The sequence below is a fragment of the Homo sapiens genome, chromosome 14, assembly GCF_000001405.40.
Source record: "Homo sapiens chromosome 14, GRCh38.p14 Primary Assembly".
NCBI classification, from domain to species: Eukaryota; Metazoa; Chordata; class Mammalia; order Primates; family Hominidae; genus Homo; species Homo sapiens.
The window spans coordinates 66,102,854-66,129,085 of record NC_000014.9 but is presented as its reverse complement, the minus strand read 5'-3'; the positions used below and the strand labels follow the sequence as shown (position 1 = coordinate 66,129,085).

Here is a 26,232-nt window from a genome sequence, read left to right as displayed (position 1 = left end):
TAATGGTTTTTAAAGCAGCACTGGTTAGAATTAGCATTTTGGAAGAGAATAAGTAAATTAACATGAAGGCTGTTTTGTACATTATTATGTCCCTGATGCCTAGAACAGTGCCTGGCATTTAATAGTTATGCAATAGATGTTAGTGCTTAAATGAGTGAAAGAATGAAGCCTAGATCCAGAATTTGCAAACTTTGAATTGAAGGGCTACAAAGAAACTGACATTTGGTTTGAGAGACTGAAGCAGGAGATGGAGGATGCAGTGGTTTATGATTTAATCAGAGATTGTCAAAAACTTCAAGTGGAGACAATCAATAACTAAGACATGATTTACTTAAAGGAATCTGGCTGTTTCCTCTAGACCCAAGAAACAACTACTGTGCGGTCCATGGTGCCAGTTTAACTGGCAAGCAATCTTTGTGCTGAAACCCAGCAGTTGGAGAAGGTGGGAAGGAGTGGAGGAAGAAGGGATAATCATCTAGGGTGATGTTCTCGAGGGGCGTTAGCAACAGAGGGCCTGCCTAGAAACAGGGCTTCTGAATCTCGAACCCACAGAATCTGGGTCCACAGATGGGTGGGGGAGTGTGGTCTGTGAACTCCCTTAAAATTATATCCAGGGCTTGGGGAATATCTGAGTATGTACATATGTGCATTATTCTGGGAATCCCAGTACTGTTGACAATTTTCAAATCGTTCCAAGACCCAGAAAGGATTAAGAATCATTTGATGTCTACTTAAAATCAGGAAGCTACAGGGAGGTCGTGGAGGGTTCAGGGTGGAAGACAAAGCAGCAACATTCTGTGATATCTTCTATCACTCTGCCTCTCAGGCAGGAAGGAACAGCTGTTTCTCAGACGGAGCTGTGCTGTTCTCTCCAGTGTGGCCCCTTTGGGTGCTCACTAAACATTAGCTGGTCTTGGCCTCCTTGTTGAGCCATCCATTTGATGCTTGGCTTGTGTGGGACCAGGCAACGTCCATACCCTAAAGGCACTGAGTCGGAAGACAAAGAAGAATGTACAAGGTAAGCATCGAGGACTGGAAGAAAGAATGGGTCAATGTTGATGCTCATCTCCTGTCTTACTGAGGGCTGCCCACATTCTTCTTCCCTTTGGTTGTTTCACCATAGGAGATCTGGGAAGAAAAGCTTCAGGCAAAGACATTGACTTTTGGGAAGTTGTCTTCTAGATGAACAGCTGCTGACTTTGATGCTAGAGTTATAAACTCTCCCCTGGTCTTCAGGAAAGACTGGAGTCTTCCTGACTTTGCCAGCCAAGGGCTGGTTGGAGATGAAGTAGTCACTTCAGGGCAGACAGATCGCATATGGCTTTCAAAAGCTGTAAATAGAAAATGTATTTTTACAGAATAAGCCCCTGTAGGTCTAGCCTAACTTTAGGGTCCTTTACATTCAACAGGCTCATCCGTTGGGTAATGTCTTAGAGTCTCTCTGAGGTTTGTTAACACAGCAGGCAGACTGGACCCCAGCAGTTGTCCTGGGCGTTCAGCCTCTGCTACGTGCCGCCTTCTACCATGTCCTATTTGAGGTCACCACCTCACCTTGCCCTTGAAATGTAGGGAGGTGGGGCTTACTTTGAAACTGAAGGTGAACACGCTACTCATTTGAGTTTGAGAGCTTTGGAATACTTGAAATAACTATTTTCTTTTCCACTATTACTTTTTAAAAGTTATTTAAAAAAAAATAACTATCAGACATGAGTGACTAAAGATCTCAAAAGGCTGATTGTCCTACACAGCAAGAGGTCATGCTGATTCCCATCTTGTTGGTTTTACCTAAATACCACCCCCAGCCTCCAAGTGAGCACATTGTTTATGTCAGGGACTTTAGGTTATATGACTTTTTTGCTGCCATCCTGCCCCAAGCGTCATACCTTGTTTCTCAATAAAGAACATGAGTCTGATGATGATCCCTGGTGTGTTGACTTCCAATATTAACAATAATAAGATATGCTGTGAACATGAAGAGAGGGGAAGAAGGAACACTCACACAGGGTTCTGGGCCTGGTGGTTCATGCCTGTAGACCCAGCTACTCAGGATGCTGAGGCAGGAGGATCCCTTGAGTCCAGCAGTTCAAGGCCAACTGGGGCAACATAGTGAGACCCTGTCTCTTAAAAAAAAAAAAATTTTTTTTCACCCCAGAATTCATACAGGTTAAAAGAGAATTTCTTAAAAAGAAAAACAAAAAATACAGTGAAACAAAACAAAACAAAACATGGTGCTATTTTTTAATGTGTCTTCAGTCAGCAGAAAATTTTTGTCAAAATTGTGTTGAGCATGCACAACTCATGATGTAGTAAAAGCTCAACCCTATCATTATCAGTTTTTGGGTGATTTAAATTTATCCCCTGCCCCTAGAAAATGTTTGGTAAATAATAGATGGTCCTATGGTCATTTTGAGTCTCAACACACAATCTCAATTCAGTAAATAGAATCAATCCAGTCCATGACATTAATCAATGTCTCAGTCTTCATTCAGAGGAGAGACATCGCCTTCTTTTTAGTGGGCTGAGGCCAATAATTGGCAGCTGCCTGCCTTTAAGGTTCTACTCTTTCTCTTACTTACCTTCTTGCAGACTCCCAGACTCCTATGTTCTATCCTGCAAGGGCTGAAGGGGCAGAGAAAGAGGAGAGGTAAGGGGAAAGGAAATCTCTGACTTGGCTGAGCAGCTTTTGCTCTTGGTGGAGAGTGGTTAAAACTCATTCTTTCTCTCCTGGGATATGCAAATACACTTGTCACTAGTGATCTCCCACATGCAAGTCTTGGACTATAAGGGATGCTGTCTATTTCCTAGGCAAGCTGTTTCCCTCGTACCCATGGCTCCCTGGTGGCCCACCAGCCGAATGCTGGAGCTGACTTACAATACAATCAGCTCACAAAAGCTGACTGTGCATGTCCATTCCCAACTCCAGAGAGACTTCAGACAGGTGGCTGGAAATTGGCCACGAGGGAGTATTTACACCCAAGAAATTGGCAAATGCAAAAAATCAGAGCCTTTTTTTTTTTTCTTTCTGGAGAGCTGGTTCTTAAACATTTACCAGCACATCACTGAGTCCACCCCATCCTGGCTCGTGCTTTTGGAGTCCCACTGCTCTCCAAGGCAGTCTTCATGGGCAGGATTTAACCAGCTCTGGCCCAGCTTTCTCTCCCTCCTATGTCTACAGGAAAGCCATCTTTTGTCTTACCAAGCTCTGTGAGGACTATAGGCAGATCCCAAGGTAACAGTGGCAGCTACTTTCTCCAAAGAATCTCTTCATCACATTTTCTGCCCTCTTCACACTTTGATTGTTTTTTAATAGCCTTTATCTGGCAGGGAAAAAGGGGCAAGTATCATGGAACCAGTTAAACTGGTCATTTCCTTTGGAAACTGCATCTGGGGAGGCTGTCTCACACTCATTTTGATATTTGACGTATATGGACTTTGTTTTAATTCCTCTTATTCATCCATGTGTCATTCTGGGCCAGGTTATCATTCTGGGGCTTTCAAAATGCTGGGGAAGCAAGCATTGTTCCATGTCATGACAATTAGAATTTGTGCTGTCCAATATGGTAGTCACTGCACTCCTGTGGTTAAATGTAAGTTTAAATTTAAAAAAAGTAAGTAAAATTTAGTTCCTCAGTTGTACTAGCCACATTTCAAGTGCTTAGTAGCCATATGTGGCTACTGGATTTTTATTGGACAGAAGATTTCCAACACTGCAAGAAGTTGTATTGGACAGTGCTGATTTAAATGGACTTCCCCGTGAGAAGTTTAAAATGGCAAGGATATGATATGATAATGAAGGAGAGTCCTAATTCAAAATAAGTGCCAGTGCATATTAAGATCCTTAAAGTCTAGTTTGTACAGGCTACACAGCATTTCATAACTAAGATTCCACTGTCAAGCACCAGAGAGGGACAAGATACTGACGTTGCACCATCTTGTAGCCTTTGGCTGCAGCACCACAGGAAATGAACAGATTCCTTGGCAAATGTCATGAACATTTGCAAATTTTGATATGTATACTCTTGACTTTGACACTTGCTTTTAAAATATGGCTGTCTGTTTGACAATGTCATCCTTCAACTGTTTTAGTCTGCCTGGAGGTGAAAGTTGGGATGTGGGGCTGAGAAGAGGAAGCTTGGGAATGTCAGCCAAGGGGCATTAAAAATTAGTAGAGCCGGGTGCGGTGGCTCACGCCTGTAATCCCAGCACTTTGGGAGGCAGAGGTGGATGGATCACCTGAGGTCAGGAGTTTGAGACCACCTGGCCAACATGGAGAAACCCCGTCTTCTACTAAAAATACAAAAATTAGCTGGGCCTGGTGGCGCGTGCCTGTAGTCTCAGGTACTCAGGAGGCTGAGGCAGGAAAATCGCTTGAACCCAGGAAGTGGAGGTTGCGGTGAACCGAGATTGGGCCATTGCACTCCAGCCTAGGCAACAAATGCAAAACTCCGTCTCAAAAAAAAAAAAATTAAAAAAAAAATTAGTAGTTTCAGTAAAGCCCAAACTTTATAGGCTCCAGGAAAAATTTTCTTCTTACCAAGTTATATGGGAATTTTGAAGATTATTAGACATAATACAGGGATTTTGACTTTATACCATCTTGACCAGATTATTTGTAATTCTAGTGAGTGGATTTTTGTTCTCACTGTAGGCTGTGGATTTTCTGCAATGATGAGTAAAGGGAATTGACGCTCATGTTTCAGAATCCATGTATGAATGCATATATGTTTTGAGGTGATCAAGCTAGCTCTGATCACCAGTTCTGAGATCTGAGCAATGGGCCATGCCTGGGTAATACCTCAGAGCTAGCATCATCAGCATTACTGTGCAGTAGTTTGAGGCCCCCATAGACAGAGTGCTTGAGTGAAAAATGGCTTTGGTCTTGGAAGCGGCTTTCTGAGGGCAACCCCTCAAGTCCAGTTCTTGAGAGGCTTGTGTAAGCTGTGAGAAATCTTTATAACCTGGAGCAGAGACAGCAGTGAGGCAATTTTGCTGAAGTATGTAGGCTTAATGGTCTAGATATTGTCATCCAGAGTTATGAGGCTTTTCCAAGGCTGACGGCAGTGCAAGGCCTGATGGCAGAAGAGGAAGTCAAGGTAAAGAAATGTGAGGAGCTCCAGTGGTAAATCAGGGAGCTCACCCTAAATGTGGAAGAGCTGGGCTTGGCCTGGAGAGGCACTTTTCCCCTAGAATACATGAAAGTCTTTCAAGAAAGATCACTAAACCTTTGTGAGCAAGAAGCAAATGACCTAAAGATCACTTACTTGGAGGTTGATGGGTTGATGGGTAAATGGAAAATGATTGTAGTTTTTCTTTCTCTCTCTTGGATGCAAATATGGAATGATGAAGTTGTCTGAGTTTCTAGACACCATGCAACAGCAGCAGCTCCGTCCTCTATTTGTTTTGGAAGACCAATACTTTTCTTTGCCTTTTTTGGGAATATAGAAAGAGAACATAGTTGCTCTTAGAGAAGTTCAAACATAAATCAGCTTGTATACCTTGAAGTTTTGAGGTTTTTTTCTTGTTTAGTTTTAAAGAGAGAATATTCATCAGTGTCTGCCTGGAGGAAGCTTTGGGAACGCATCTTAGCCAGCTGCCCCCAGGCTCCTGCCTAACCTGGAGTGGATACCCGTATGGATGCCTGACTCTGCAGATATGATATAAAAACTTGGATCCTAAGTCAGGATACCTTAATTTGTTTTAAAGTCCCTTTTACCACTGGTCTCTAGTACCTGAATCTATTGCCCTGGTTCTTTATGGGGATCTTTTACTTACTCTTTTCTCACTTCCATTGGGAAATTGAAAGATTTCTCTTCCGTATTTCACATTTTGCTATATTTTAATTTTTTCCATACAGACTCCATCCCTGTGTTTTCAATATCTGGATGTCTGGGTCCCAGATCCTCACCTGGAATCCGTGGGCCACTGATCATCTGTTTCTATAACTGTTAGAAAAAAGACACTGCATTTGCTATGAACCCAGACTTAGGTTTGCTCTCTTTAGGATAGTATTTTGGAAACACCAAAGGGAAGAAAATAGATTTACACCAAATGTTACTTTAATCTTTAGTCACGAATACAGCCGTGCACCACAGAATGACATTTCAGTCAGCAATGGACTACATATGCAACAGTGGTCCCACAGGGTTATAACATCATATTTTTACTGTTCTTCTATGTTTAAATATGTTTAGATACACGAATACTTACCATTGTGCTCTGCTGCCTAAGTATTCAAGACAGTAACATGCTGTACAGGTTTGTTGCTAGCAATAGCCTATATCATATAGCCTAGGTGTGTAGTAGGCTATGACATCTAGGTTTGTGTGAGTACGAGCTGTGATGTTCGCCCAGTGATGAAATCGCCTAATGATGAATTTATCAGAATATATCCCCATGGTTAAGCAACGCGTGACTGTATTTCAAGAACACTTATTGTAGGCATTAACCTATGAGAATATAGAAATGTATGAGACTCAACTCTATCCTTAAACAACTTAAACTTTAGTTAGATACATAAAACAGAAGCATATGAAAAATTAAATGAGACCAGTATTAATAGCCAGTGTATTAAATGCCTACTGTGTGCTAGGTGATTTACAAGCATTATTTTAATCGTCACAATTACTCCACAAGGTATGATTATCTGCATTTAACAGATGGTGACCCCCATGTCTTAGAGACGGTAAAAACTTTCCAAAGTTTACTTGGCTAGCAAGGAGAGGCACCAGGGCCTGTCTTCAAAGTCAGAACTCTTTCTGCTGAAATATATTGACTTTATATTTGTTCATTTTAACAAAAATAGAGATTATTGAGATTATTGCTGTGTACAATATCGATGCTTGGTAAAAAGTTATAAGGAATTCTAAGGAGGGAAAGTGTTCTGTGGCCTGGGATGGTTAGGGAAGACTTTGAGTAGAAATGGAGTGATTTGATCTAAGATCCAAAAAATCAGGAGGATTTGCCTAGGGAAGAGGAAAGAGAGACCAGCCTACCTAAAGGAGGACGGGCTTGAGCCACAGCCTTCTGGAGCCATCTTGAGGGATGCACTGGGAGGCGCAGCTTAGTCTCATCTCAGTTCCAACTGAGAGACTCCACAGGGCTGGAGAAGTTTTGGGGATAGGATGGAGTTATGACTGTTAGCCCCATGGTTGGGTTACCTTTCAATGCCCAGGTTTGTTCCTGGAAGGATTTTCTTAGTTTGTGTCTCCCATGGCAATATTTATATGGGCACGGGGAAAACACATTTTGGGGGTGTAAAACAGTGTTGGTATCCCACTTCTTACTGGTGCAAGTTATGGGGCCCGAGAATTGCCTTAGAGGTTGAATAATTACTGGGTTTTGGGTTTTATAGTTCTCTTAAAATCTCTTCAGGCTTTGGGTCTATGTGTATGCTTCTGATCCAGAGCCAAAGTTCTTAACAACACAAAGCTATTGAGCCCAAGAAATGCTGTCTTTCTTTTTTAATTGAGACAGAGTCTTGCTCTGTCACCCAGGCTGGAGTGCAGTGGCACAAGTTGGGCTCACTGCAACCTCTGCCTCCCGGGTTCATGCAATTCTTCTGCCTCAGCCTCTCCAGTAGCTGGGATTAAAGGTGCCCACCATCACGCCCAGCTAATTTTTGTATGTTCAGTAGAGACGGGATTTTGTCATGTTGGCCAGGCTGGTCTTGAACTCCAGACTTCAAGTGATCCACCTACCTTGGCCTCCCAAAGAGCTGGGATTACAGGTGTAAGCCACCGAGCCTGGCCCAAGAATTGCTGTCTTTCAACCAAGGGCCTGTGCTCTGATGTCTCCCAGATTGTCAGAATAATAATTTTGGGGCACCATCTGTAATCCTACCCCATAATCCAATCTTCCCCACCTTCATCTTCGCAACCACCTCAAAAAGGTTATCATCATTATGCTAATTTCACAGACAGAATAAGACACCAATGGAAAGGAGCAGAGGTCTTCAGGGTTCTCTCTCCTTTCTAGGTTGGATGAGGCCCTGGAACACAAGTTCTCTAGGGAGTCCCCAGGTACATTCCACAAAGTTCTGGTCCACCTTTCTTAACAACAAATCTTCTGCCTTTGAGGTTTCTCTTCATGCCATCCTTCTGCCTTTGATCTGAGAAAACACAGGCCCAGTAAGTGTCAGGCCTCTGGACTCATGGATCCTCCTTTTTAGAAGTGGTCAGTAGGGTGTGAAGCTTCAGAGAGTGCTCCTGGCCCCCTATGCCTGTCAGAACCACAGGGAATAAATCCCCTCTTGGCCCAGCAGTAATCAGCTCATGCCTTGGAGCATGAAATTTGATTAGCTCTTTATCTCAGCTGCATTACTTGGACTGTTATTATGAGTCATAAAATTTACAAACCCCCATCCCACCCACCCCTCTGTCAGTGTGACACTGGTGTAGGACTTGGTGACCTTTAGGGAACGGGAGCAGGGCTTTGCTCTTTTTTATTTCTATGAATTTGCATATACAGACCAAGGTCATACTGCCACAAAAGGAGACTTACTTCTTAGGGAAATCCTAAGAGTTACTGAGGTTACTTTTTGCCCCTTTGGTATACCATTCATACGGGGGAGGGAAATGGTATAGGTATGCATAATAAGACATGCCTATCGTATTTGCAATGCAAATTCTGTCCTAAATTAGAAAAAGAGCTACATTTACTCTGTAGAAATGAGTTGAGGGTCTGTATCTGGAAATAGTAGCCTATACTGATTTCCCAAACTGATTTGCAAATTAGAATATTCTAGAGCACTGTTAAAAAAAAAAAAACCACGTATTTCAAGCCCCTACTTCCTACCTTTTGCATTGGAATCCATATTTCTGAGAATCCAGCCAAGGAGTCTGTATTGATCATGTTGGACCAGCATTTTGGGATGCACTCATTAGCCTCCATTTGGATGCCTAAGGATCATGCATGTCAGGGCTTGGGTGCCTTGTCAACAGACAGAGAGTCAACAGACAGTCTGTGCCTTGTCAACAGACAGACAGTCGCTAGGATTCAATAGGCATGAAGGGCCAGAGAGAGAGTCCTCCTGAGTTGTGTGAGAACAGACACTGTAAGAGGGAGTAAGGAGTCAGGATGGAGCCTGCCCTCTTGTTCCTGAAAGGCCACAGGCCCCTGCCTGACAGCTTCTTATGCCTCATTCTCTGCCTGTACACAGCCCAGCCTATTCAGGTCAGGCATCTGCCATGCTGACTGGTTTCTGTATTTTGTGATCCAAATTCTTTGGCTTTTCTGTGTCGTGGGTTCAATCACAGCCAAACTGACTGAAACTGAGAAAGCCAGGTCAGTGAGACTCCCAGATCTCCCTTTCCAGGCCTCTGAAGATCTTTCTCATTAAGAGATAAGGAACAGGCTGGGCACAGTGGCTCATGCCTGTAATCCCAGCACTTTGGGATGCTGAGGCGGGCGGATTATTTGAGGTCAGGAGTTCAAAACTATCTTGGCCAATATGGCTAAAACTACAAAAATTAGCGGGGCATGGTGGTGGATGCCTGTAATCCCAGCTACTGGACAGGCTGAGGCAGAAGAATCGCTTGAGCCTGGGAGGTGGAGGTTGCAGTGAGCAGAGATTGCGCCACTGCACTCCAGCCTGGGTGGCAGAGCAAGACTCCATCTCAAACAAAAAAACAAACAAAAAAAGACATAGGGAACAATGAGAATGACAGGCCCATTGCCCAACATGTTCAATACACCATCAAAGAACAACATGCCATTTTAACAAGAAACTTTTATATGGACCAGAAGGAATCATGGTGGCATGACCAGCACATTCTCTTGTAGTCAAGATGCATGGGAGGTCAAGTCAGAATCCGTAATTTTTATGGCATTTATTGTTCATCTCTTCATTCATTAAAAAAGTATTTATTCAGCACATATTATGTGCCAGGTGCTTTGGGACCTTGGTACTGTTTAGGTGCTTAGAATACTTTCATGAAAAAATTAAAGATACTTGCTTTTAAGGAGCTTGCATTTTAGAGGAGAGATGGGGGAAGATAGACAATAAACAATAAATAAGTTATGCAGTATGTTAGGAAGTGATTACTTCTGTGGAGGGAAATATGTTAGGGTAAAAGGGATTGAGAATTCCAGGGAGGTAGATTGCAGTTTTGAATAGGGTGATCAGTATGGTCTCATTGAGAGATAACATGTGAGGAAAGATGGAAGGAGGGTAGATATGTGTTGGGAGAGCATTCTGGACAGAGACAACAGGCTAAGAAAAGGCCCTAAGGAGGGAAAACGCCATTAACACTGGAATGGGTGAGTGAGGACTGATAATGATGGCAGAGGCCATAAGGACACAGCACATGGGAACTTGTAGTCATTTAGACTTTGGTTTTTTACTCTAAATGAGATGGAAGTCAAGGCAAGGTTGTAACCAGAGGGATGATATAATTTGACTTGCTTTTTCATTAATTTTATGTTTAATTTTTATTATGTAGACAAATAATATTATCACATAATTATATTATTATATAATAATATACTTTGTTACATTATAATATAATATTACATAATAATTATATTATTGTGCAATAATGTCAATTATTACATATTTTATGTAGACAATTTTATATTTATATTTTTTATTTATTTTTTAAGCTAAAAAAGCAGACAAAATAGTATAACAACCCTTCATGTGCCCATTACCCAATTTTACAATTATCAACTCATCAATATTTTATAGACTCCCCTTTCACTTCCCCTCCTCCCTGAATTCCAGATATAATATCATTTACTCAGTAAGCACTTCCATTATGTAATGTCTTTTTGATTGAGGTACAATTTACAAAAAACTACAGCTTCATGAATATTTTCATACCCTTGTAACCATTATTCAGATCAGGATATAAAACAGAGTCTTTCCAGCACTCAAGATTCCCTTGTTTCTCAATCCATAACCCTACCACCACTATCCAAGGTAGCCACTATTTTAACTCCTATCATCAAAGATTAATTTTGCCTGTTCTTGAATTTTTTTGTAGAAAGAATCATACAGTATGTAGCCTTTTGTGTCTGACTACTTTAGCTCACCCTTTTGCCTGAAAGATTCATCGATGTTGATTGTTTGTAGCAGAAGTTTGTTGTTTTTTACTGATGTGTAGTATTCTGATATTACTCTTCCACAATTTATCCATTCTGTTGACAGATAGAGGAAAGGTCCACTCCAACATGAAGACACTGGGAGGAAAGAAAGAATAATGAAGGAAGCTAAAAGTGGAATCACTGGGATAGGAGAAGAAACAAAGAAAGTCCATCCAGGAAGCCGGTGAGTAACAGTGAATCGGGAATGGAGACATGATGAGTCATGCCAAAGGCTGCTGGTCAAACAAGTTAGATAAAAACAAAAAATAAGCATTAGACTTAGGAGTGTGTAGGTAACTGGTAACCTTTATAAGAACAATTTTAAAGACAAGAAACTGATTGAAGGGTTTCAGAGAGAATGAGAGGAAAGTGCTTGATTAGAATATACAGCACTTTTGAAGCGTTTGGTAGGAGACAGAGCAAAGAAATGGGGCCAGAGCTAGGGGAAAAGTAGGGTTAGGAGAATGTTTATTTGCTTTAAAGATAGAAGAAATAATAGTATGCTTGCATGCTCATGGTAATGATCCAGTAGGAAAAGAAAAACTGAAGATATAAGAGAAGGAAGCGAATTGCTGGAGCAAAATCCTCAGGTAAGTGACAGAGTTGAGATCTAGTGCACAAGTGGAAGATTGGCTTTAAATAGGGAAAGGACATCCACCATGCCTTAGAGACTGAAAATAGTTGTGGGGGCAAGATTGGTAAGCACTGATATCCAGGTATCTCTGACTTTGTCAGATTGGGAATAAAGATGTAGTCTCCATAAGAGCCAAATCTTAACGTCTGTGAGCCCTCTGCTTGCTGCTGGAATCTCAGCCTTTTCTCCCAGTAGATTTAGAGACCCCGGGATGCTGCTTATACTTGTCCCCACATGAATCCTGTTTATTAATAGCTATCACAGGTAGATAAACTTCATTCAAACCCTGACAGTTCTACAAGGCTCAAGGCCAAAGCTCCTTTATCCCTGCTGTAAATAAATATTCCTTCTTAGTTATGCAAAGGTCCCAGAGCGGAGTTGTTTATGCAAACTGTTTCTCGAAAGGCACACATGTGACACTGGCAGAGCTGGATCAGAGCAGATTCTGGTGTCAGTTGCTGCACAAGGCCAAGAACCACTATTTCCTCCCAACATCTGATCTTAGCATTAGCTTGGGCTCATCATAGCTCGTCTTCTTCCCTGTGGTGAGTTAGGTCTCAACACCTCCATTATTGCTTCATTTAAGCTGGTTTTCACTAGTCTTCCTGCTCCCCACCAAACTGGAGCGTGATAAAGACAGACAAAGGACAGAGAAAGACATTTGTCTCCAGGCACCAGCCTATGTGGGCACCAGAAACACTAAATGCAAATTTCAGTGCTGTAGCAGCAGAGAACAGGGAGGGAAGGAAAGCACAAGCACATTCCACTGTCCCTGGGCATCCTACACCCTCTTCTTGCCACTGCACCAAGTCCCACCATCTGCTAAGTCCACCAGCTGTGTTGTTTCTAACTGAACCCCACAGTTTGAGTCTTTGCCCCAGTGATTTCTCAGCTTTTATGTAAATCAAGGGTCTGAAATGTATGTATTGGAGGGAGTGGCATGACCTAACTCCTCCAGCTTCTATTCAGTCAATACATATGGAATCAGAACAAGGAATGCTTAAGTGTGTAGCGGTGTGAGGCTAAGATGGCTGAAAGGATTTTTCAACAAGGGAATCTGGACCACGTAAGTGTCTCTCTTTCCAGGACACTGCTGTCGTAGGCACTGCCGGTGGCTGTCTTTATTGCTTTTCTTCTGAGTGTCACGGCTGATCAGCCGACATTTGCGTAGGCTCACTTTTCCTTTACTCATGTTAATTAAGTCAAAGGTGTCATGGCAAAGTTTTGCTGGCCAAGATGCCAGAATTTTAGAAAGGATTTAACTCCAAGAATTCTAGAACTTTTATGTTAATTAAAGTATTCTGTGGGACAAAAATTGATGAGGCTTGTAAAAATCACCAGAGGAGGAGACTCAGTGCTCTTTGACACCCTTTGCACATTTCTTAGATGAGTCATGCATCTCTTAGTGGAATTCAATTAGTTTGCTCTAAATGAAGTTATCAATCTGCCTTTCTCTGGCCCCCAACATATACATTGATCATAATGGAAATTACAGGGTTGCAACATCATAACACTGCTGTTACTTGTCAAGGATGACCATGAGTGAAAGTCCTGTGGATCTGGCCTTGTGGGAGACACGTCTTCTGCTTCATGGTCTCTTGTTGGGTCTGCTGGTCTGTTAGGTGTTTCTCTCCCTGGCTGACTCCTGGGAGACTGACTTGCAAGAGATTCTCTATTCTCTGTGCCCTGTAGGGTGATGGGGAAAGCTAGGCTTCAAGTAGCCACAGACTGAAACATCTATTTCTGCTGCTTCTTTTGGTCAGGAATCCTCCTCCTTTGTACCCTATGTCCAGATCCTGCTGACTCAGCCTAGATCTCTCTACAACAGAGGGACTATGGGTCACTGTGATAGCATTTACCTGGTATTCCCTCAAATAACAGATTCAGACAAGACAGCAGAATTTCTTCCTCTGACATATACATCCCTGGGATAGATAGTTGGGTAGTGCATACAACTTTCCACTATCCTAGTGTCATTCCCAAATACACATCCATTTGCAAGGTGTGGCAGCAAAAGGTTTTCAAGTAAGACAAATGCAGATCCAGATTCCAGTTTTGCCACTCATCCTGTGACGTGAGGAAAATCACTTTATTCTTTACATGGGAATAGTGGTTAACGGTTAAAGTGGTAGCCATTTGTGGGTTCACAAAACCAGCACGGTCAATCCCCTCCACAATCCTCTGAGGCTGCTGTAGTACCCCAATTCTACCAACAAGGAAAGGCAGCCTGGGTAAGGAGAAGAGGGAGGACCAGGTTTGCCTGTCCAGAGCAGTGAAACTGGGTCTTGTCCCAGGCTTTATGGAGAGAATCCCAGTGTTCTTTAAATTTTTTGGTTGTCACAACTGCAGGGTGAAATGTTCCTGGCATCTAGTGGGTGGAGGTCAGGAATGCTTCTAAACACACTACAAGGGTGCATGGGACAGCTGCTCACAATAGGGAATTATCCAGCCAAAATGTCAATAGAGCCAAGTCTGAGAAACATGGCAATGGCAGTAGACCCAAATATGACCTCATCGAAGATGGGTGAAAGATGTCCCCCAATTTGCTGAGTTCACTTGAAAAGAATTGTATTTTAAGCATATGCCAAGCTGCAGAGAATACTAGAATGTTCCTCTTGGCGTTTCACCTTGGCATTGGCTCACTTTGCATACATTCCTCTTTGCATAGGCTCACTTTTCTTTTACTCACGTTAATTAAATCAAAGGTGTGATTGCAAAGTTTTGCTGGCCAAGGTGCCAGAATTTTAGAAGGGATTTAACTTCTTGAATTCTAGAACTCCATACCATACACATAAAATAATTGCAAGTAGATCACATATCTAAATGTAAAAGCCAGATTATCATTTAAAAAACTGATAAATTAGATTTTATTAAATTAAGAATGTCTGCTGATCAAATCACATCAAGAAAGTTATTAAGCAACTGTGATGGTTAATATTGAGTGTCAATTTGATTGGGTTGAAGGATGCAAAGTATTGTTCCTGGGTGTGTGTGTGAGGGTGTTGCCAAAGGAGATTAACATTTGAGTCAGTGGGCTGGGAAAGGCCACGCACACTTAATCAGGGCTGCCAGTGAGGCCAGTATAAAAGCAGTCAGAGGAATGTGGAAGGGCTAGACTGGCTGAGTCTTTGGGCTTTCATCTTTCTCCCGTGCTGGATGCTTCCTGCCCTCGAACATTGGATTTTGGACTCTTGAAGGACTTATACCAGTGGTTTGCCAGGGAATCTTGGGCCTTCAGCCCCAGACTGAAGGCTGCACTGTCAGCTTTCCTACTTTTAAGGTTTTGGGACTCAGACTGGCTTCCTTGCTCCTTAGCTTGCTGACAACCTATTGTGGGATGTCACCTTGTGATTGTATGTGTCATTACTCCTTAATAAACTCCCTTTCATGTATACATCTATCCTGTTAGTCCTGTCCCTCTAAACAACCCTGATTAATAGAGCAACTAATAGACTGGAAGAAGATATTCATGATACAAATGTCTGACAAAGATCTTGTATCCAAAATATATAAAGAACTATAAGAAAAAGAAAATAAATAAACCGTTTTTTAATTGAATTGATCTTTTATAAACAAATATTTTATAAAAGATTAATTCAGATGTCTAGTAAGCATATGAAAAGGTGTTCAATAACATTCATTAGGAAAGTACAAATTCCCATACACACCAGAATGGCTAAAATTTTTTTCAAAACTAATAATACTAAGTGTTGGTGAGGATGTGGAACAATTAGAACTCTCATACATTATAGGAGGGAGTGAAATCAGTTCAACCACTTTGGAAATATCTATTAAAACTAAATATTTGTCTGCCCTATGACACAGCAGTTGCACTCCTAGATGCGATGCTCCTAGGTATATATTCACGAGAAATGAGTTCACATGTCCAACAGAAGACGTGCACAAGAATGTCCACAGTAGCCCCAAGCTGGAAACAACTACTGTCAACAGAATGGATAAATGTGGTATAGTCGTATCATAAAATAGTACATACATCAATAAAGAATAACAAACTTCTACATACAGTTACATCAATGTGAAACAGCTTGCTGTGACGAAGAACAGAATTCTAACAAGTAGGAAACTCTTGGGTAGACAATTTAAAATATAGACCTGTATTAAATTCATGGAATAAACTAAACAATTTTATAAAGGAAAAGACTATATTAGAAGTTGTTTATATATTTCATAGGCTGTAACCACTAGTGTGCTGTATGACAAGACTTACAATTTCTAGGAACTATTTGTATATTAGATTCCCTGATAAAATAGTTCATGTCTTTTTGTAAGAAAAACTTCTAATAAATGTATTTGTCAGTGGGTAGTGTAGTTTATGGACATCTGGCAGCAAAATCACCAAATTTCAAACTAATAACCCTTGTAGCATCAGATCCTTACACATTTTACATGTTGTTTTGAGATTCATAGATTCAAATACATTCACTTCCCTCAGCTCATGAGAGTAAGGCTCATATTTTTCATGGCATATTCAGAGGTCTCAATCGTAAATTCTTACACAAATTCCAAAGGCAATATTTTCTTTAGACCCAGGGCATGTATTAGTATTTCCGGCTGGAGTTAGGTGAGATAACTCTCTAAAAGTGATGGCAGAATATTAAAGAGGCAAGTAGAGAAATCTCATACTTGGAAGCTACTTAAGTGAGCTTGTTTCCAACATCGGTGATTCTAATACCAATGATGTCGAATGTTTCCCACTGAGGTGGCCACAGGAGTCTCCATGAGGAGGGTTGTTTTTGAGTTGACATTTGAAGAAAGACTGGAATTCTGGTGGAGAAAAAACCACCTAAGTGAGGGAAATGGCATAAAGCAAAGGCCAACGTCTTGGAAGTAAAAATATAGTTGAAGGAGAGTAATTTAAAGTACAGTGTTTATGAAGGAAGTATTCATGAAGAAAAGTAGTTGGAGATAAGACTGGAAAAAAGCGATTAAGATCAGAGTTTTGAGAACACAGATTAGGGCTTTGGGTGTTTAAGGGGGCAGAATCATGTAATTACTTTAGCAGGGTGGGAATAGCTTTCTTTAAAACTATTTTTGAAGTCTCAGCCAAATTATGAAGTCTAAGCTTCCATAGTCTGATGAAGAACAAGTGAAAAGCAGAATCCAAAGGAGTAGTTAAGTTCTGGTTGGCAGGAGTTGGGAAGACGGTGGAGGAAAGGAGCTCCAGCCTGTGATGGGCACAGTGTGCCAATGGCGGGAGTCACGCTGGGCTGCATGAGGCAGGCGTGCACCTTGGATTGGCTAGGGTGGAGGTGTCAGCAGTTCCGCCCCAAGCCCTGCCTGACTTGGCTGTGGTTTCCTAGTGTTGGCCTGAATATCCCCGGAGAAAGTGAGCTTTCCTGTTGGCATTCCTCACCTCTGACTTGAACTTGGCTCCTCCTCTGGAAGCAGAGATTTCTCTGTGTGATTATGCTAACTGGCAGATTTTAGAACATTCTCTGGGTCTCTCTTCACTCTTCAGTCTTGTATATATGAATCTAGATAAACCCTCTTTTCCATTATGGGACCAGGAGAAATCGTTGCTTGGTTAAGTGTAAGTGGAAAAATACCAATGAATTGGATTTGTGGTAGGTAATTTACCGTTTTGTCTTCCTGATTTCCCTTCTGCCCTTCTCTGGCATTCCCTTTCCTTAGGGAAATGCACAGTTTTCTATTCCATGCGGTTCTGGTGGGACTGTCACTGCTGGTGCTCTGCTTCAGAAGCCACAGGTGTGGGCATGTGACCAGAGTCTTGCAAATCATGGTGTCCCATCCTCCAGGCCACAGTGATTGGACTAAGATGCAAGCATGTGACTGAAGCAGGACCAATCAGAATCCTTCTCTGGGACTTACTGGATCTGCCACAATAATGCTTAGAATTTTCTGCAGTAAAGATCGTTCTTCAGTTAGAAAGAATGAGGCCACCACACTGAAAGAAGCAGAGCTGAGAGGGAGAGAGACCTGATAACTTCCCTTTGTGTTCCCAGATCTCAGTATGTGGGAGCCTGTTCCCCTACTGTCCCCTCTCCCCAGTACCTATTTCTTTTTTGCTTGAGTTAGTTTGAGTTGTATTTTGGTCACTTCAACTTAAAAACGAATCCTGATTAATATAAAAGTTGTTTCTTGGTCATTTGCTTTATTATTGGCTTCAGCTTTATAACTTTCTTGGTCCTACACAACCAGCAAAGCCTTTTGAGAATGAGACCCTCTGTAGTGTTCATTTAAGCTTAGTACAGGAGGTATCCTTACAGATGTGACATCTTTTTAATGTCTCCTGGCTTTGTATTCTCAATTCTGTGGAGTTATGCATCCCTAAAGACATCTCAAAATACTTGCTAACAACATAGACAGGGATACCTGCTCTTTGGGTCTAGTTTTCCAGCAAGGAAAATAGATTTTGTAGAGTATTTCTGAAAAACAGATGAAAATTGTGATGATAACATACATTAAATACTAAAAAGAAAAGTGGTTCAGAGAAAAGGCATTATATCTAAGAATATCATTAAGGTGTTCCATTATGCAGTAAATGAAGTGCAGTTTCACACTCCATCAACTTATGTTTAAGACGCTGTGTGCGTGTGTTTGTGTGTGTGTGTATGTGTATAAAACCTTGCTACAGAAAATGGGACAAACTAAAGCCACTACAAAACCTTGAATCTTTATATTAGGAAAAGGTTTCACTCGTGTGTGTGTGCCTGTGTGTGTGTATACACAAGGAGTTCTTAAAGTGTTCTAGTAATACACTTCCTGTCAGAAACATTGTTGTTATCCTAATCCATGCATGCTCAGCTGTGAGTGAGTTGGGACAAATGAAAGGGGGAACCAGGAAAATGTCCCTGAAATGAGATCATCTGAACCAGCCTCGCCAGTCAAGATGAGTGACTTTGTGGGGCAAGGCATGGCATTAGGAGTGGCCAGGCCCCTGGGATGATGCCTGGGTCTGCAGTGGCAGCACTGTGGTTCTGAGCGGTTCTTCTCTTTGGAGCAGGACTTCAGGTGACAGCTTGCAACTGAGGTAGAAAAGCTGTGCAAAGCTGGTTAGCCCAGCAACAGCAGGAAAGAAAAGCGGTCCAGGAAGAAATGAGACAGGACACCATGCTGTCTTCCCCTTGCAATGCTCAGATCTAGTAATGCCTCCCATGAAGTCAAGTTTGCCACAGTGACTTCAAAGTGTAGCCATCTGTCATCTCTACAAAAAGCCTGAGGACATGAGGGTTAGTGGAACATGCCATGGTCTGTGACCTTATGACTGATCCCAAGGCCTCAATCAAGATCCGTCATTCTCCACCTTGGTTTCTACATTTCCCTCACCACAGTAAGCATTTTGGTGGGTCAAGGCTGCTACCCTGTGGGGTGGCTTGAACTTTCATCTCCAATGGGTCTGAGCCTTTCCAGGCCACAGTTGTATACAAATGGCCCACTTATGGTTACCATGGGCACAGGAATCCCTGAGAGACACCCCAGGGGATCTCTGGGTTCCAGAGGCACTCATTCTTGCCCCATGTTGTAGAGCAGCAACCTGGCTCCTTGTGGTCATCAGGGCTGATTGCCCCTGACAACAACGTAACTCCTTGCCATGCCTACTTCTTCACTGGCAGGAGAAGCCTAAAAGAAATAGATAGCAGGCATGTCTTCTAGCAGAATTCCAACCATGTTCCCCCTTGGGACCTGGGGCCCTTAACCAGCAGAGCATAAGGTCATGGGACAAGAAGTGCAAATTCCACAGGGGGCCACTAGGAGTGATGGTGAGGGAGGAACCACTCCTACTTCCACCAGGTCACACCTTTACAAATTGGTTACCATGGCAGTGTAAGATGGAGCACAGAAGATGGCCAACACACTCAGACTCTCCCTCCATCTGTTTTTCTGTCTCTGTCTGCCTCTTTCTCTCTGCTCTCTGTCTCCTCCACCCACTGAGAGCCTGGCTCCCTATCAGAGGGCAGAGACGGTGGCTACTGAGGTCACCTCTGCACCTCATGGCCTTTCCAGCTCTGCCTTACCTGGGCTGCTCCTTCCTCAGAGTTCTGGGAACACTGGAAAGTGAGGGCAGAGGAAAGCCTGTTGGTAGTTCATGTTTGTGAAGGCAGTGCCCAGAAGGAGGGAAGATTCTAGAGTAGAAGGCTCCACTCACAGAAATTTGGTCAAGGATTAGAATTATTGGAAACTTGAATTAAACTGAACCCATCTCAGGGCAAACATCCCTTCTGTCCTTCCTGCCCCACCAGTGGGGAAGTCACAGGAACAGATGGGAAATGTTCCCTCTCTTTGTCCAGAACCACTCTTCCTTGGACACAGTTAAGGACTGCTTCCTTCTTGCAGCAGGAGCTCTGTAGATCATCCGGACAGGCTCCTCCCCCAGGTACACAGGCCCTGCAGAGCCTGGGAGAGGAGGCCTGAGGCTCCAGCAGCCTCCCCTTCACAGCTCCCTTTGCGCTCCAGCCTCTCACCATCCAAGAAATGTGTGTATTTTCACCTCTGAGCCGTTGTTCATGCTGGCCTGTCCTCCAGCATGACCTTTCCATCTCTTTTACACTTTTCTTAAAACCTTAAACAATTTTTTATAAAGCCCAGCCCAAGGATCATTGTCTGTGTGAAGGTCCAGGTGGAATTCTCAAGTATCCTATTTTCCTGTGATGATATCTCTACCCTAGCACTAAGTGCTTTATATGTAATAATACATTTAATTCTTATCACAATCTTTGAGGTAGAGGTTATTATTATCCCCATTTACAGATGAGAAAACGGAGTCACGGGGAGATTAAATAACTTGCCCAAGGTGACACCATGAGTAATGTTATATTCCAGGACCATATCTTATCTTCATACTGGCATCCCCCAGTGTGTAGCATTGTGTCTGTCACGTAACAGGCCACAGATAATGCTGCCAAGTGAGTGATTTAGATGCTGGTGCTTGTTCAGAAGAGCCAAATCAAGTCTGATTTAAGCCTAAAGCAAGTGTGGTTGGTGCTTCGTAATACTAAGGCAGGTTCTTTTGTTTGTGAACTCTCTGGGCCTTGCAGTGCCCTCTCTACCTCTTTTCTTTCTGCTTTCCCTGTTTATTTCTTTCTCTGCTAGATGAAGAACATAAAGGTGAATTACAAAGAGGAAGAGGTTTGCTTGGAGAAGAAGATCGGGGCCCTTGCTAAGTTAGGTGTTTGGTGACTCTGTTGGCTTCATAGTCTTTTTTAGGGTTGGATAATTCAGAATTGGCTTCTGGAAGGGGTGGAAGAAGGAAGCTATCAGAGTGCCTGGTGAGAAATTGAATTCAGAGAGGGGGAATGAGGTGGAATACGTTATTTTCAGTCCCGTTGATCTTCCTTTCCATCAAGGCATTTCCTGCAGGCTTCATTTAAAGATATAGAATTATAGGAATTAGATATGTTACCCTATCTACAATGATGGCGGGATCATTTGTCAATGAAAAAAAATTCAATTGTAGAGTTTCTAGAACACTCTTCATGCCTGACTTGTTTCTGAGATCTTTTTAATTGCATGTGAGCCTTTTGTTTCTTAGGACAAAGTCATTAACCTCTACTCCAATGGGCTGAAAGAAGAAATGAAAGGCAGTTTTCATTGTCAGGGAACCCTGAGTAAAATGTTTAAGAGGTAGAATCCATGCCTGCTCTTTGTAGTGAGGATCTAAACCTGCTCCCTCCTCATTTGCCTCAGCAATGCTGGGAGAAGGAAGTGATGTGGTCCACTATGACCCCCATTCTTACTAGAAGTTTTCTAGGAAAGTAGCATCACAATCAAGGCTAAGCCATGGGAGTTAGGAATATGCTGATCTGGTGAAAGAAGCGCAGGGTAGAGAAAGTAAGTCTTCTCTATACTTCTGACTGTGTTGTTGAACTATAGATTGGGAGAAATAAATGTATTAGTGTTGAAAATGTTTCCTTGCTTGTAAAAGGAGAGAGAATGAATTAAAAGTGTTCTAGACTCAGAACTGAGTTTCAGTGTAGAATGCTAGGTCGGCTATGAAATACAGGCACACATTTTTCCTTATTCCTCATTCCCTTCTTAATCCCTCCTTTATTCTTAAGCCATTCCCTCTTTAATCCTTCTACTCTAAATTGTGTCCTCTGAATATGGAACATATGAAGATGATAATGATCAAGATGAAATAATATGAATATTAGTGATGATAATATTAACATGAGCTATACTTATCAGTTAGCATATAGTAGAAACACCAAAATATTTAATTCTTAAAAAATTCTTCATAGATACAGTTATTTCTATTTTAGAGATTGGAAAACTGAGGTCGAGAGAGGGAAAGTAATTTGTGCAGGTTCACAGTAAGTAATGGCTGAGTCAGGATGGGCTTCAGAATATTTTTTTGCCCCAAAGCCCATGCTTGCTCTTAACCAGTATTTTACACTTAGTAGGAAGAGAAATGTGGTCCAGCGAATCTCAGATGCAGAATCCAGTGGACTTTTCCTTCATAGTTCTTGGCCTCCGAGACAGTGTTCATGTTCCATCGCCATTATCTATCTTAAACCCCATCCTTGGCGTCCCTGAGGACAAGTCCTCATCTTTTGTGATAATTTTATGTAGCAACATGCCTGGGCCACAGTGCTCAGGCATTTGGCCAAACATTATTCTGGATATTTCTGCTGAGAGTATTTTTTGGATGAGACTAATATTGAAATTTGTAGGCCTTGAATAAAGCAGATTGCCCTCCATAATGTAGGTAGCCCTCATCTAATCGGGTGAATAGAACTGACCTCCACTGGATGTGGTGGCTCACAACTGTAATCCCAGCACTTTGGGAGACTGAGGCAGGAGGATCACCTGAGGTCAGGGGTTGGAGACCAGCCTAGCCAACATGGTGAAACCCGTCTCTACTAAAAATACAAAAATTAGCCGGGTGTGGTGGCACACCCTTATAATCCCAGCTACTCAGGAGACTGAGGCATGAGAATTGCTTGAACTTGGGAGGCGGAGGTTGCAGTGAGCTGAGATCATGCCACTGCACTCCAGCCTGGGTGACAGAATGAGACTCTGTTTCAAAAAATAAAAAACCAAAAAACTGACCTCCTCTGAGCAAGGGGGAGCTCTGCCAGCAGGAAGGCTTCAGACTTGAACTGCAGCACTGGCTCTTCCCTGATCTCCAGGTTTTGAACTTGCCAGCCTCCATAATTGTATAAGCCAATTCCTTAAAATAAATCACTCTCTCCCCCACCCCTCTATACAAACATCTTATTGATTCTATCTGCAGAACCCTGACTCATACATTTTCCTTCTTAGACTTATTCTCCTTCCCTTTCTCACTCATCCTTCTGCCCTGACAAGAGGGCTTCTCTTGTCAGTTTTTGGATAGCATAACTCTGTGCTTTTTTCTCTCTGTGTCATTTCCCTCAGAGAACACGCCCATCCTTACAACTTCACAATAGATGTGAGTCACTCCAGGACCCGAGTTTTCAGCTCTGACTGCTTTCTGTACCTCCAGATCCTCCATGCTTGCTACTGACTGCATCTTTGCAGGCAGATGTCATCAAATCCAGCGGCTGATCATTCAGCTCCAACATCATCGGGCCCTCTTCCTAGTCATGGGATTCCTTTAATCTCCCAGGCTTGAAACCTTGGAGTTTCTGACCTCTCTCTTCTCCCTGCTCCATATCTAGCTGGCCAGCCAATGTTTCAGATTGCATTTCCTTGGGACTGTCTTTCTAGCTGTTCCTTTCTCTTTCACTGTTGGCACCACCTGCTACAGGCCCCACTTATCTCCTTTCTGAATGGGAATCCTTGTCTTAAGGTCCACTCTTTTCCAGTCTGTCCTGTGCAGAAATGACAGATCAGCTTCCCTAAAGCACATCTTCTTCATCTCTCGTTTCCTAATTTGGCAGGACTGGAAGACCCAAACTTGTCTTGAGCCAGTGGTAAGGCTAGTCCTGAAGTTCATCCTTTATTTGAGAAAAAGGCCCAACTCAGCGTCTCACCACATGCTTCGCCGTCCTGGGAACAAATGCCACAAAGAATCTTACTCTCACTCAGAAACTCCTCTGCAGCCAACAGTCTCTTATCAGGAGCTTCAAACATGCAGGAGCACTGAGTGAAGTTTAGACTGGATTGGACTTGGAATCTTAGGGAGGGCTACACCAGAATCCAGGACTAACACCCTACATCATTCTTCTAGCCCTTGAGGGCTCTTCCCTGCCACTAGCCCTTGGCCTGGCAGGGAAGTCTCCCTCTTTGTTGTGTCTCCCTGGAGTCTGAACTCACATGTGGATGTCAGGGAGGGGACAGATTTGGAGAAGCAGCTCCAAAGAAAGTAAAGAATTTTTGTATTTCTGAATGTCACTGTAACCTCAGGAAGCTTCAGTGAGCTCATAAAGACCAACAGCTGCTGGAGCAGTGGCTGATGGAAATAACTTACCTGTAAGTGTCTAAACTGGAAGGAAAACTATTTTGGAGGGTGGGGATAATGTTGCAGAATTTTGCTTAGTTCCCCTAAAACTGGGTTCTTGTCACACGACCAGGAAAATTTAGGCATGCGAACACACTGAAGGGTGAGTAGAACAGGGTTTTACTGGGCGAAAAGGGAAGAAAAAAAAAAAAACAACTCAGCAAAGCAAGATGGAGTCTTGCTGACAGACCCCCCACCTCCCAGATTGAATCCCAGGCCACCACACAGGAAGAAACCAGGCTCCTCCCTCTTGCCCGTGGCTCCACCCCATTCCCCCAGTGCGCATGTGGGCATGTTCAGACAAGGCTCTGGGCAGGTTCTCTCATCTGCACAAAAGCATCTGATGTAAACACTTGTGGGGCGGGTCAGAGATTCTCTGGGGACCCCTTTTTATTTGCCTAGGCATTTGGCTGTCTCACTGTGATTTTTAAAAGTTGCCTTTCAAGGATGATACAAGTATTTTTGGGTACTTCAAGCTAAAGACTTTTTACAAAATTGGGCCAAAGTTATATAACAATAATTGCTATTATTTGTTGAGTACTTAATGGTACCACACACAGTGTTAAGCACCTTGTATATGTTAACTCATTTACTCCTCACAATAACCTTATGAACTATAAACAATTATCATTTTAATGTTACAGATTGGAAACTAAGGCATAGAGAGGGTTGCCCATGGGACAGCTAAATAAGTAGCAGAGTCAAGATCCGGACAGGCAGTCTGGCACCAAAGCTCATGTTTGTAGCTATTTAAAATTTGAAGACATAGAGAAGGAAGGATATCTGATTGATTCCTCTGTTTGGTAGGTGAGAATTAACTCTAAACAGTGATATTCATGTCTTGTCTTTAGGCCACAGAGAAACAATGATCACTAAATAGGGTCTGATTAACAGCTTTAGAAAAAGCTTTGGGGAAGACAGTTGTTTTTATGGAAGCCTGAACCATGCTGAATGGGCTAAAACTTGCTGTTGTGATATAATTCTATGTTGACTAGCTGGTCAGAATTGGTTCATTGCTGCAATCCACAATCACTTATCAAGCACTTACTACCTATTGGGAGCTATGCAGAGAAGTGAGGATAAAAGAGTGAATCAGGCAGACCTGGCCCCTGTCCTCATGGAAGGGTTGTCCTTCATTAGAAGCAAAGCTTTAAACCATAGTTTGATAAAAGATGGATCCAAAGGTAATATTCTATACGGGCTAACAAGTCACTTGAAAAATTGGGCAAGAATCCTTTAGCTTACAGAGTAAAACAGTGAAAAGAGGCCACATCAACTATCGGAGTAAAAAGTCTGACAGCACACAGGAGGGGATTGGTCTTGTGCTGCTCACTGCTCTGTTGAGTACAAAAGGGTGAGATTTCTGTGCAGATTATTCTCAAAAAAGTGTCAAGTACCTGTAGGCACTTTCAAAACCCATCTTTTGGTGTTGATGCTGTTGGTCACCAAGTCAGTGCAAAGTTTCACTTGAGGGGAACAACTTGGGGGACATCTCAGAGGAAGACTCTTGGAGCACAAGGAAAAGAAAAACAGAAAACATCCTTGGACTGGTATTAAAGTTCAGTGGACCTGCCCACACTCAGGCATTTTGCTTAATCAGGTGAAAACGTTGACTTGGCCTAAAATTAGTGTCTGTTTTGGGGCAATCAAAATAGCCTTAATTAGACATCGGCCCAATTGGAAGAATTTTATCTTGACTGAGGAAAGAGTAATTTTTCTATGTTGAAAATCTAACTTTAAAACTCCTGATAGGTGACTTAGAACTTGCTATGGTACCAAATGGCTCTCAAATTTGGAGTGGAGGTAAGGTCAAGACAAAATTTAATATATCCCCAATGGCTGGTGGGTTGTATGCAGGCAAGGACCTAGAGGCTGCTTTCCATTTGGTCACAGCGTGACAAGGGGAGAGATAAGAGTAATTGAGGATAGATGGAAAATGTTAAATCCACTTGCTGTAATTAAGGATAATTTTTCTTCCTTTCAGTGATACTGATTGCTCAGGGGCAGATAGAAGGAGCAAAGGCATCAAGAATGCTGAGTCTAAATTCTCTTGGTGTGTAGATAAACTTTAGTGGGTGTCCTTCTGCCTCATATTGATGAGGCAAAGCTGTCA

General features: G+C 42.4%; 1 long non-coding RNA gene across 12 annotated transcripts; it reads right to left on the bottom strand.

Annotated features, from left to right (window-relative positions):
• Window positions 1-255: 255 nt before the first annotated feature.
• LINC02290 (long intergenic non-protein coding RNA 2290) lies at window positions 256-17,455 on the bottom strand. 12 transcript variants are annotated; one of them, NR_184236.1, is made up of 8 exons: window positions 17,091-17,455; window positions 11,032-11,178; window positions 5,773-5,942; window positions 5,262-5,425; window positions 3,197-3,317; window positions 2,577-2,619; window positions 2,000-2,120; window positions 256-1,331 (listed from the first exon to the last, which is right to left on the bottom strand). It is a non-coding gene; the product is annotated as a long intergenic non-protein coding RNA 2290 (long non-coding RNA). The 12 variants fall into 12 exon arrangements; NR_184238.1 differs by having other exon boundaries at window positions 17,315-17,455; NR_184242.1 differs by lacking the exon at window positions 5,773-5,942 and having other exon boundaries at window positions 16,732-17,455.